The following is a 14,081-nucleotide window of genomic DNA, read 5'->3' as shown; positions in this document are numbered from 1 at the left end:
ACCTCATTTTCCCTTAAAATATACAGTTGACCCTTGAACAACGCAGGAGTTAGAGGCAACATCAGCTTACACAGTCAAATATCTACATATAACTTTTGACTCTCCTAAATCTTAACTACTAATGGCCTACTGTTGACCCAAATCCTTACAACTAACATAATCGTTGATTAACATGTATTTTTGTATGTTGTATGCATTATATACTGTATTCTTATAATAAAGTAAGCAAGAGGAAGAAATGTTATCAAGAAAATCATAGGGAAGAAAAATATATATTTACTATTCATTAAGTAGATGTGGATCATCATAAAGGTTTTCATCCTAATTGTCTTCATACTGTAGGCTGATGGGGAAGAGGAAGGGAAGGGGTTGGTCTTGCTGTTTCAGGGGTGGCAGTGGTGGAAGAGGCGGATGAGGTGGAAAGGGAGGCAGGAGAGGAAGGCACACTTAGTTTAACTTAACACATTTAAGGAAATGCATTTTTGCCTTTTTTTTCTTTTTCATTTCTCCAAAAATGTTTCTATACAGTACCAATCCTTCTTCCACTGTTAGCTTTAATTTCAGTCCCTGTATCATAGAAAGGATCATGTCATAAAAGAAGTCAAAAGCAGTCTTGAATAACTGAAACCCTCCTGCCAGATTATCTAATGTCAATTTGTTTTCTGTCACTACTTCTTCAACATCATCTTCCTCCTCATCTGGCACTGGTCCAAAAGCACTTATCTCCATCAAAGTCATCTTCTGTTAATTCTTGTAGTGTGATGTCTGTTAGCTCTTGAATTTCTCCAAGATCCATATTCTGAAACCCTTCACCCCCACCTTTTCTTTTTTATACCCATGATCTCATGATTTCCTTGACTGGCTCTATCATAAATATTGTGAAGTGATACATAAAATCTGGAAACAGTTTTCTTCAGCAGGAATTTATTGTATCAGGCTTGATGGCTTTCAGGGCTTTTTCCATAACAACAGTTGTATCTTCAGTGGTATAATTTTTCCAGACTTTCATGATGTTGTCTCTATTCGGATCCTCTTCAAACCATTGACGATCCTTTCCATAGAGTACTGTGTGTATTGAGCCTTTATAGTCCTTATGACCCCTAATCTAGAGGCTGAATTAGAGACTTTTTGTCTGGAGGCAAGTAGATACTTTCCATGTTGAACTCATGAGGTTCTGGGTGGCAAGGGGCATTGCTCAATAGCAAAGGAACTTTATAAGGCAGTCCTTCCTAGCCAGGTACTTCATGATTTCAGGGACAAAGTGCTGATGGACACAATCAAGGAAAATAGCTCTAAATGTCCAGGTCTTCTTCTTGTACAACCAAAAGACTGGTAGCTGATGTTTATCTTTTCCCTTCAATGCTAGGAGATTAGCAACTGTGTAGATAAGAAAAGTCATGATCATAATAAACCTGACTGTATTGTCACAAAACAGGAGGGTTAGCTTACTCCTTCCTGCCTTAAATCCTAGTGCTCACTTCTCTTCTTTACTAATAAATGTTCTTTGTGGTATTTTTCTGTACAGAATAGAGCACTTTGACACACATTAAAAACCTGTTGCAGCAAATATTCCTTCTCCTCAGTGGTTTTCTTAATGGTGTCTTGGAACTTGTCTGCTGCTTCTTGGGCAACAGAAGCTGTTTTTCTTATTATCTTGACAATTTTTAAGCCAAATATCTTTGTAAAATTATCAAACCATCCTTTGCTAACACTAAATTCTCCAGCTTTAGATCCTTCACCTTCCTTTTGAGTAAGTCATCTTTAATGACTTTTCTTTTTCTTGAATAATATTAGACTCTATATGTATGCCTTTGTTATACCCAATCCTACACCTACATAAAAGCTGCATGTTCAAAATTACATAAAAAGGTATTTCCCCAGAAGAGCAAGTTTTCACATCTGCTGGTGTAGCCACAGGGATGGCTTCATACGTTTCCTTTTCTTTCATTACGTTGGTCTTTCCTTATGCTGGATTTGTTTATCTTGAAATGAAGGGCATCTGCAGCTGCAGACCTGAATCCACAGTACATATTAAGCAACTCAACTTTTTCTTGTAATATCATGACTTTTCTCTTCGTCTTGGGAGCAGTTTCAGCACCACTACTGACACCTTTGCTCCCATGGTGTTATTTAAGGTTCACAGTATTGCAAAAGACATGATAAAAAATGTGCAATAATCAGGAACAATCACTTTTCACTGTGATGTGTGATTTAGTGGTGAAATGAACAGTTCACAGGGAGATGATTAGCCTCAAACTGTGATTTAAGCAGATACTCACAATACTTGAGACCATTGCAATATCAATAGGAGGTGGCTTTGAAATTACTACAGTAGTACAACATGTACTACAGTTAATTTTATGTAGTTATGATTTAATAGTAAATCTTTGTTTTCTCTTAATCAGGAATGGCTCACAAGTGTGCACAAAAGTTTTGAAAAATTTTAACTTTTTATAATAGATTGGTGTAGATTTTATGGTAGTAAATGATAAAATAGTATATGTAAATATTATATTCATTTATCACACATATTTTCTTATTTTTAAAAAAATATTCCTCTCCCTCTCCCTCTCTCCCTCTCCCCACGGTCTCCCTCTCCCTCTCTTTCCACGGTCTCCCTCTGATGCCGAGCGGAAGCTGGACTGCGCTGCCGCCATCTCGGCTCACTGCAACCTCCCTGCCTGATTCTCCTGCCTCAGCCTGCGAGTGCCTGCGACTGCAGGCGTGTGCCGCCGCGCCTGACTGGTTTTCGTATTTTTTTGGTGGAGACAGGGTTTCGCTGTGTTGGCCGGGCTGGTCTCCAGCTCCTAACCGCGAGTGATCCGCCAGCCTCGGCCTCCTGAGGTGCCGGGATTGCAGACGGAGTCTCGTTCACTCAGTGCTCAATGTTGCCCAGGCTGGAGTGCAGTGGTGTGATCTCGGCTTGCTACAACCTCCACCTCCCAGCCACCTGCCTTGGCCTCCCAAAGTGCTGAGATTGCAGCCTCTGCCTGGCCGCCACCCCGTCTGGGAAGTGAGGAGCGTCTCTGCCTGGCCGCCCATCATCTGGGATGTGAGGAGCCCCTCTGCCTGGCTGCCCAGTCTGGGAAGTGAGGAGCGCCTCTTCCCGGCCACCATCCCCTCTAGGAAGTGAGGAGCGTCTCTGCCCCGCCGCCCATAGTCTGAGATGTGGCGAGCGCCTCTGCCCCACCACCCCGTCTGGGATGTGAGGAGCGCCTCTGCCTGGCCGCAACCCCGTCTGGGAGGTGAGGAGCGTCTCTGCCCGGCCGCCCCGTCTAAGAAGTGAGGAGCCCCTCCACCCAGCAGCCGCACCATTTGGGAAGTGAGGAGCATCTCCGCCCGGCAGCCGCCCCGACCGGGAGGTGGGGGGCAGCCCCCGCCCGGCCAGCCGCCCTATCCAGGAGGGAGGTGGGGGCAACACCCACCTGGCCAGCCGCCCCGTCCAGGAGGGAGGTGGGGGGTAGCCCCTGCCCGGCAGCCACCCCGTCCGGGAGGTGGGGGACAACCCCCGCCCCGGCCAGCCTCCCTGTCCGGGAGGTGGGGGGCAGCCCCCGCCCAGCCAGCCGCTCCATCCAGGAGGGAGGTGGCGGGCAGCCCACACCTGGCCGGCCGCCCATCCGGGAGTTGTGGGGCGCCTCTGCCCGGCTGCCGCCCTGTCCGGGAGGTGGGGGGAGCCTCTGCCCGGCCACCCCATCTGGGAAGTGAGGAGCCCCTCTGCCCGGCCACCACCCCATCTGGGAGGTGTACCCAACGGCTCATTGAGAACGGGCCATGATGATGATGGCAGTTTTGTCCAATAGAAAAGGGGGAAATGTGGGGAAAAGATAGAGAGATTGGATTGGTGCTGTGTCTGTGCAGAAAGAAGTAGACATGGGGGACTCCATTTTGTTCTGTACTGGGAAAAATTCTTCTGCCTTGGGATGCTGTTAATCTATAACCTTACCCCCAACCCCGTGCTCTCTGAAACATGTGCTGTGTCCACTCAGGGTTAAATGGATTAAGGGTGGTGCAGGATGTGCTTTGTTAAACAGATGCTTGAAGGCAGCATGCTCGTTAAGAGTCATTACCACTCCCAACTTCCCCAATCTAGCAAGGCAGGCCAACGTTCAGATTCAGGAAATACAGAGAATGCCACAAAGATACTCCTCAAGAAGAGCAACTCCAAGACACATAATTGTCAGATTCACCAAAGTTGAAGTGAAGGAAAAAATGTTAAGGGCAGCCAGAGAGAAAGGTCGGGTTACCCTCAAAGGAAAGCCCATCAGACTAACAGCGGATCTCTCGGCAGAAACCCTACAAGCCAGAAGAGAGTGGGGGCCAATATTCAACATTCTTAAAGAAAACAATTTTCAACCCAGAATTTCATATCCAGCCAAACTAAGCTTCATAAGTGAAGGAGAAATAAAATACTTTATAGACAAGCAAATGCTGAGAGATTTTGTCACCACCAGGCCTGCCCTAAAAGAGCTCCTGAAGGAAGCGCTAAACATGGAAAGGAACAACCGGTACCAGCCGCTGCAAAATCATGCCAAAATGTAAAGACCATCGAGACTAGGAAGAAACTGCATCAACTAATGAGCAAAATCACCAGCTAACATCATAATGACAGGATCAAATTCACACATAACAATATTAACTTTAAATATAAATGGACTAAATTCTGCAATTAAAAGACACAGACTGGCAAGTTGGATAAAGAGTCAAGACCCATCAGTGTGCTGTATTCAGGAAACCCATCTCACGTGCAGAGACACACATAGGCTCAAAATAAAAGGATGGAGGAAGATCTACCAAGCCAATGGAAAACAAAAAAAGGCAGGGGTTGCAATCCTAGTCTCTGATAAAACAGACTTTAAACCAACAAAGATCAAAAGAGACAAAGAAGGCCATTACATAATGGTAAAGGGATCAATTCAACAAGAGGAGCTAACTATCCTAAATATTTATGCACCCAATACAGGAGCACCCAGATTCATAAAGCAAATCCTCAGTGACCTACAAAGAGACTTAGACTCCCACACATTAATAATGGGAGACTTTAACACCCCACTGTCAACATTAGACAGATCAACGAGACAGAAAGTCAACAAGGATACCCAGGAATTGAACTCAGTTCTGCACCAAGCAGACCTAATAGACATCTACAGAACTCTCCACCCCAAATCAACAGAATATACATTTTTTTCAGCACCACACCACACCTATTCCAAAATTGACCACATAGTTGGAAGCAAAGCTCTCCTCAGTAAATGTAAAAGAACAGAAATTATAACAAACTATCTCTCAGACCACAGTGCAATCAAACTAGAACTCAGGATTAAGAATCTCACTCAAAGCCGCTCAACTACATGGAAACTGAACAACCTGCTCCTGAATGACTACTGGGTACACAACGAAATGAAGGCAGAAATAAAGATGTTCTTTGAAACCAACGAGAACAAAGACACCACATACCAGAATCTCTGGGACGCATTCAAAGCAGTGTGTAGAGGGAAATTTATAGCACTAAATGCCTACAAGAGAAAGCAGGAAAGATCCAAAATTGACACCCTAACATCACAATTAAAAGAACTAGAAAAGCAAGAGCAAACACATTCAAAAGCTAGCAGAAGGCAAGAAATAACTAAAATCAGAGCAGAACTGAAGGAAATAGAGACACAAAAAACCCTTCAAAAAATCAATGAATCCAGGAGCTGGTTTGTTGAAAGGATCAACAAAATTGATAGACCGCTAGCAAGACTAATAAAGAAAAAAAGAGAGAAGAATCAAATAGACACAATAAAAAATGATAAAGGGGATATCACCACCGATCCCACAGAAATACAAACTACCATCAGAGAATACTACAAACACCTCTACGCAAAAAAACTAGAAAATCTAGAAGAAATGGATACATTCCTCGACACATACACTCTCCCAGGACTAAACCAGGAAGAAGTTGAATCTCTGAAAAGACCAATAACAGGCTCTGAAATTGTGGCAATAATCAATAGTTTACCAACCAAAAAGAGTCCAGGACCAGATGGATTCACAGCCGAATTCTACCAGAGGTACAAGGAGGAAATGGTACCATTCCTTCTGAAACTATTCCAATCAATAGAAAAAGAGGGAATCCTCCCTAACTCATTTTATGAGGCCAGCATCATTCTGATACCAAAGCCGGGCAGAGACACAACCAAAAAAGAGAATTTTAGACCAATATCCTTGATGAACATTGATGCAAAAATCCTCAATAAAATACTGGCAAACCAAATCCAGCAGCACATCAAAAAGCTTATCCACCATGATCAAGTGGGCTTCATCCCTGGGATGCAAGGCTGGTTCAATATACGCAAATCAATAAATGTAATCCAGCATATAAACAGAGCCAAAGACAAAAACCACATGATTATCTCAATAGATGCAGAAAAAGCCTTTGACAAAATTCAACAACCCTTCATGCTAAAAACTCTCAATAAATTAGGTATTGATGGGACGTATTTCAAAATAATAAGAGCTATCTATGACAAACCCACAGCCAATATCATACTGAATGGGCAAAAACTGGAAGCATTCCCTTTGAAAACTGGCACAAGACAGGGATGCCCTCTCTCACCACTCCTATTCAACATAGTGTTGGAAGTTCTGGCCAGGGCAATCAGGCAGGAGAAGGAAATAAAGGGTATTCAATTAGGAAAAGAGGAAGTCAAATTGTCCCTGTTTGCAGACGACATGATTGTTTATCTAGAAAACCCCATCGTCTCAGCCCAAAATCTCCTTAAGCTGATAAGCAACTTCAGCAAAGTCTCAGGATACAAAATCAATGTACAAAAATCACAAGCATTCTTATACACCAACAACAGACAAACAAAGAGCCAAATCATGGGTGAACTCCCATTCACAATTGCTTCAAAGAGAATAAAATACCTAGGAATCCAACTTACAAGGGATGTGAAGGACCTCTTCAAGGAGATCTACAAACCACTGCTCAAGGAAATAAAAGAGGACACAAACAAATGGAAGAACATTCCATGCTCATGGGTAGGAAGAATCAATATCGTGAAAATGGCCATACTGCCCAAGGTAATTTACAGATTCAATGCCATCCCCATCAAGCTACCAATGACTTTCTTCACAGAATTGGAAAAAACTACTTTAAAGTTCATATGGAACCAAAAAAGAGCCCGCATTGCCAAGTCAATCCTAAGCCAAAAGAACAAAGCTGGAGGCATCACACTACCTGACTTCAAACTATACTACAAGGCTACAGTAACCAAAACAGCATGGTACTGGTACCAAAACAGAGATATAGATCAATGGAACAGAACAGAGCCCTCAGAAATAATGCCGCATATCTACAACTATCTGATCTTTGACAAACCTGAGAAAAACAAGCAATGGGGAAAGGATTCCCTATTTAATAAATGGTGCTGGGAAAACTGGCTAGCCATATGTAGAAAGCTGAAACTGGATCCCTTCCTTACACCTTATACAAAAATCAATTCAAGATGGATTAAAGATTTAAACATTAGACCTAAAACCATAAAAATCCTAGAAGAAAACCTAGGCATTACCATTCAGGACATAGGCGTGGGCAAGGACTTCATGTCCAAAACACCAAAAGCAATGGCAACAAAAGACAAAATTGACAAATGGGATCTAATTAAACTAAAGAGCTTCTGCACAGCAAAAGAAACTACCATCAGAGTGAACAGGCAACCTACAACATGGGAGAAAATTTTCGCAACCTACTCATCTGACAAAGGGCTAATATCCAGAATCTACAATGAACTCAAACAAATTTACAAGAAAAAAACAAACAACCCCATCAAAAAGTGGGCGAAGGACATGAACAGACACTTCTCAAAAGAAGACATTTATGCAGCCAAAAAACACATGAAGAAATGCTCATCATCACTGGCCATCAGAGAAATGCAAATCAAAACCACTATGAGATATCATCTCACACCAGTTAGAATGGCAATCATTAAAAAGTCAGGAAACAACAGGTGCTGGAGAGGATGCGGAGAAATAGGAACACTTTTACACTGTTGGTGGGACTGTAAACTAGTTCATCCATTGTGGAAGTCAGTGTGGCGATTCCTCAGGGATCTAGAACTAGAAATACCATTTGACCCAGCCATCCCATTACTGGGTATATACCCAAATGACTATAAATCATGCTGCTATAAAGAGACATGCACACGTATGTTTATTGTGGCATTATTCACAATAGCAAAGACTTGGAACCAACCCAAATGTCCAACAATGATAGACTGGATTAAGAAAATGTGGCACATATACACCATGGAATACTATGCAGCCATAAAAAATGATGAGTTCATATCCTGTGTAGGGACATGGATGAAAATGGAAACCATCATTCTCAGTAAACTATCGCAAGAACAAAAAACCAAACACCGCATATTCTCACTCATAGGTGGGAATTGAACAATGAGATCACATGGACACAGGAAGGGGAATATCACCCTCTGGGGACTGTGGTGGGGTCGGGGGAGGGGGGAGGGATGGCATTGGGAGATATACCTAATGCTAGATGACACATTAGTGGGTGCAGGGCACCAGCATGGCACATGTATACATATGTAACTAACCTGCACAATGTGCACATGTACCCTAAAACTTAGAGTATAATAAAAAAAAAAAAAAAAAAAGAAAGTAAATTGGTAGAGAACAGGATGTGGCACCACGGAATTAGGGGAAGTTAGGGGAAGTAGTAGTAGAGGAGGGTGAAAATGATCAGTTCAGTTTTGGGTATAATGAGTTTAAGATACTTGTGGAACATTGAAATGAGGATTTCCAGCTGGCTCTTACATCAAATGGCTTGGAAATATCTAAGTTCTATGTTTGGTTGTAGTATGTTGCACTGTAGACCCAAGCAAAGAATGTGTGTGCATGTGGATATGAACCAACAGTACTGCATGCGGTTCTGGTATTGAATTTCAGGCTTTCATTAGTCTTTTTTATTTAATTTTTTTTTTAGCCAGAGGTGACTAAAGGAAATGTCTCTTTAACTGTAGGCAGATATTTCTTATTATTTGTTATTCTTTTCTCTAATGATTAGAGAAATAATAATAATGGCCAACACATATTGAATATCTGCTGGAAGGCAAGCCTTATCTCACTGTACCTAAATTACTTTATTTAATCTTTATGAGTACCATGTGAGGTAGCTACTATTATTATTATCCACATTTCATACCAAATGTGGATAATAATAATCATAAGATGGAGGGAGGTAGTGTAACCTGCTCCAGATCACTTTGCTAAAAAGTGGCAGAACTGGGATTCAAACCTAGACAGTCTGTTGTGTTAAAGTCTATCTCAAGAATTTGAAATTCAGGTTAAACTTGGCTCCATTAAAGCATTAAAGGAGGTTGCTCGTCAGGAATGCCTTTTCCTTCCTTTTCAGTAGGGTCAAAGTTCTGCTCTGGGACCATGTATCTCCTTCCCAGTTCCTTAGGGTATTTCCTGGTGCCTGTCCCACTATTCCCTTTGGCGATGAAGTGTATCTTCCACATGAGCTGACTTGAAAATCCTCTCCCATTTGCAAAAACATAGACTCAAAGAAATTTTCTGTGTAGCACTTTTAAACATGCCTCCGTAGCTATAAATTGGCTTTTCTTCTTTTTTGGTTCAGGATTGTACTTCTGTGTTATAACTCCCTTTTATATGTCTTAAAAGAAGTTATCAATCATCTTCATGTTTACCGTTGTGTCTCTCACAAGAAAGTGTTGCATTACCTGAAGGAAGCGACCTTGGCATTTTCTTCTGTCTTCCCATAGGATGCTGTTCTTTGAGATCTCAATAAAGATGGCATCTGGTTCCCTTAAAACAAAAAAAAAAAAAAAAAAAAAGAGTCATTACCACTCCCTGGTCTCAAGTACCCAGGGACACAAACACTGCGGAAGGTCGCAGGGTCCTCTGCTTAGGAAAACCAGAGACCTTTGTTCACTTGTTTATCTGCTGACCTTCCCTCCACTATTGTCCTGTGACCCTGCCAAATCCCCCTCTGTGAGAAACACCCAAGAATGATCAATAAATACTAAAAAAAAAAAAAAAAAAAAAAAAAAAAAAAAAATTCCTAGGCAACATGGTTTGTCTGTGAGTTTGTCCAAATTATTGCAAATCTCAAAAATAAATTTCAACCTATCAACTGAAAAAAAATATGTAAATGGAGACCTGCACAGTTCAAACTCATGTTGTTCAAGGGTGAACTGTAGATTTCATTCTTCATTCCTTATTAGTTCAACTTCCCAAAATACTGGCTTATATGTCATGGGTTCACTTTCTCACCTTCTACTCACTTCTTAGCTACTTCATTGTTAATCTGCTTTTATTACTCTATTCAGCCATGTCTTGTTAAATTGCCAGTTCTCTCCACCTCAATAAATCCAAATGGCCATTTCAGTGTTATTTTCACTTGATCTCCTAAATTCAGTTGACACTGGTGTCTTGCCTGTAAATACTCTCTTCCATTGGCTTGGATGACACAACACTCTTGGTTTCCCATCTACATCTCTGGATTTGCCTGTTCCTGTCTCCGATTTAGAGTTCATCTTTTTTTTTCAACCTAAATGCTGAGGTCCCTCAAAGATAATTTCTTAGAATTCCTCTCTTAATTTTAACAAACACGTCCTTGATTTGCTATTATCCTGATGATTCTCTCAGTTCTATTTACAGCCTATATATCTCTTCTGAGCTCTCAACTTACATATTCTCCTACCTAGTAGACTACTTTATCTTTGAAATGTACCTGAACTCCACTTCTCCAAAACTGAACTCATGATCTGCTCTTTACTTCATATCTGACATTTCCCAATGACCTCAGTAAAGGTACTATCATTCCTATTGTTAACTTTTATCCCACATTACAAATTGATGACACTGAATGGCCCAGTAGAAGAAAATTATGGACATGCGTTTTTATTGCACTTGATTTTATTGTAACTCCACAGATATTGCATTTTTTACAAATTGAAGGTTTGTGGCATCTCTGTCCTACACATCTGTTGGCACTATTTTTCCAATAGCATGGTCTCATTTTGTGTAATTTTGTTAATTCTCACAATATTTCAAACTTTTTCATTATTATTATATCTGTTATGGTGATCTGTAATCAGTGATCTTTTTTGCTTATATTATTATTTCAATTTACATGATAATTGTACACATTTATGGCATACAGTGTGATATTTCCATAAATGTATACAATATATAAGGATCAAATCAGGGTAATAAACGTATCCATCACCTCAGACATTTATTATTTCTTTGTGTTAGGAACACGCTACTGTTGTAATTGGTTTGGGGCATCACAAACTGCCCACATAAGACCGTAATGAGGGTGGTACGTTCTGATTGTCCTACCCACTGGCTGTACTTCCGTCTCTCTCCCTCTCCTCAGGCCTCCCTATCCCTAGAGACACAACAGTATTAAAATTAGGCTAATTAATAGCCCTACAATGGCTAAATGCTCAAGTGAAAGGAAGAATTGTAAGTCTCTAACTTTAAATCAAAAGCTTTTGATTTAAAAGCTTTAAATCAAAATCAACAAGAAATGATTATACTTAATGAGGAAGGTATGGTGGAAGCAAATATAGGCCAAAAATTAGGCCTGTTGCAAAAAACAGCCAAGTTGTGAATATACAGAAATGATAAGAAAGAGAAACAGCCTTATTGCTGATATGGAGAAAGTTTTCATGGTCTTGATAGAAGATCAAGTCAGCCACAACATTCTTGTAAACCAAAATTGTAATCAAGAGCAAGACCTTAACTCTCTTTAATCCTATAAAGGCTGAGAGAGGGGAGGAAGTTACAGAAGATGTGTAAAGCTAGCAGAGGTTATTTCGTGAGGTTGAAGGAAGGAAACTGTCTCTATAACATCAAAGTGCTGGGTGAAGCAGCAAGTGCAGACTGATAGAGAAGCTTCAACAACATATTTTCGATGTAGACAAAACAGCCTTTTTTTGGAAGAAGATGCCATCTAACACTTTCTCAGCTAGAGAGGAGAAGTCAAGGCCTTGCTTCAGATTGTCAAAGGACAGGCTAACTCTTCTATGAGGAGATAATAAAACTGGTGACTTGAAGTGGAAGCCAATAATCATTTCCATTCTGAGAAGACTAGGAAACTTATGAATTATGTTACACGTATTACTGTGTTCTAAAAATGAAAAAACAAAGCCTGGGTGACAACACATCTCTTTACAACATGGTTTACTGAATATTTTAAGTCTACTTCTGAGAATTACTACTCACACACATATATATATATACAAAAATCCCTTCAAAATACTACTGCTAATAATTGACAATGTGCCCGGCCAGCCCGGAGGTCTGATGGAGACATACATGGAGTTTAATGTTGTTTACGTACCTGCTAACACAATATCCATTCTGCAGCCTATGAATCAACAAGTAATTTTGACTCTCATGTCTTATTATTTCTAAAATACATTTCATAAAGCCGTAACTGTCATAGATGGTAATCCCTCAGATGGATATGGGCAAAGTAAGTTGGAAACCTTCTGGAAAGGATTCACCATTCTAGGTGTCATTAAGAACATTCATGAGTCATGAGAGAAGGTCAAAATATCAACAACAGGAGTTTGGAAGAAGTGATTCCAACCCTCATGGATGACTTTGAGGTGTTCCAATACTTCCAGTCAAGGAAGTAACTGAAGATGTAATGAAAAGAGCAGGAGAACTAGAATTAGAAAGTGAGTTCAAAGATGGCACTGAACTTCTACAATCTCATGATAAATCTTAAATGGATGAGGAATTGCTTCTTATAGATCAGCAAAGAAAGTGGTTTCTTGAGGCGGAATATACTCTGGTGAAGTTGCTATCAGCATTGTTGAAATGACAACAAAGAATTTAGAATATTACGTATACTTAGTAGACTTAAAACTGACTCCAGTTTTAAGAGCAGTTCTAACGCAGGTAAAATGTCATCAAACAACATTTCACACTACAGATAAATACCACTTCCTTTTGTGAAAGGAAGACTCATTTGATGTGGCAAACTTCATTGTTGTCTTATTTTAAGAAATTGCCACAGCCACCGCCACCTTCAGCAATTGCCACCCTAATCAGTCAGCAGCCATCAACATTGAGGCAAGACCCTCAACTAGCAAAAAGAATCTAACCCACTGAAGGCTCAGATGATCAGTTGCTTTTTTTTTTAGCAATAAAGTATATTTGAATTAAGATTTATGTATTTTTAGACATAATTCTATTGTGCACTTATTAGGCTACAGTATAGTATAAACATAACTTTTTTTTTTTTTTGAGACAGAGTCTCGCTCTGTTGCCCAGGCTGGAGCGCAGTGGCGCAATCTCGGCTCACTGCAACCTCCGCCTCCCGGGTTCGCACCATTCTCCTGCCTCAGCCTCCAGAGTAGCTGGGACTACAGGCGCACGCAGCCACACCTGGCTAATTTTTTGTATTTTTAGTAGAGATAGGGTTTCACCGTGTTAGCCAGGATGGTCTTGATCTCCTGACTTCGTGATCTGCAAGCCTCTGCCTTCCAAAGTGCTGGGATTACAGGTGTGAACCACCGCGCCCGGCCCACTTTTTATATGAATTGGGAAAACAAAACATTTGTGTGATTTTTACTGTGATACTGTTTTATTGTGGTGGTCTGAAATCAAACGCACATTTTCTCCAAGGAATGCCTGTATACTTGTTTGAAAATGACTTAATTTGGAATAGACATTCTTGCTACATATAAAGATAAAGAATAATATTTACCTCTGGGGAATAGCCACTATCATAGTTTGACTAGAAAAACTGTAATTTCATTGGCAAGGATATTTCTTACAGTAAGTTCTTATCATTTCCATTTTGAAAAATATTGATGTAGATTGACCTCTCACTAAGAAATGCTACTTGTAATCCTCAAGTACTTTTGAAATTTAAGTACATTTCATTTTTGTGGCTTTGTAATCATCATCGTATTAAAGAATATTCTCAAATTATTTAAATAAAGTTAATTATAGATCAAATGAAACTATCTTTCAGTAGTTAATTTGCTAAAAACTAGTTGTTTCCAAGTCTTATTTAAATTTCTAACTTTTAA

At 40.4% G+C, this 14,081-nt stretch overlaps 1 pseudogene across 1 annotated transcript in view; it reads right to left on the bottom strand.

Moving 5' to 3' along the window:
* The window catches only part of GRM5P1 (GRM5 pseudogene 1), a 251,892-nt pseudogene that overhangs the window by 8,617 nt on the left and 229,194 nt on the right, over positions 1-14,081 (bottom strand). The window contains exon 4 of the transcript NR_027044.1: positions 9,744-9,828. The product of NR_027044.1 is annotated as a GRM5 pseudogene 1 (transcript). The remainder of the gene's footprint in view (positions 1-9,743; positions 9,829-14,081) is intronic.

The sequence above is a fragment of the Homo sapiens genome, chromosome 11 (assembly GCF_000001405.40).
Source record: "Homo sapiens chromosome 11, GRCh38.p14 Primary Assembly".
Lineage (NCBI taxonomy): Eukaryota > Metazoa > Chordata > Mammalia > Primates > Hominidae > Homo > Homo sapiens.
This window is presented reverse-complemented; position numbering and strand designations above follow the sequence as displayed.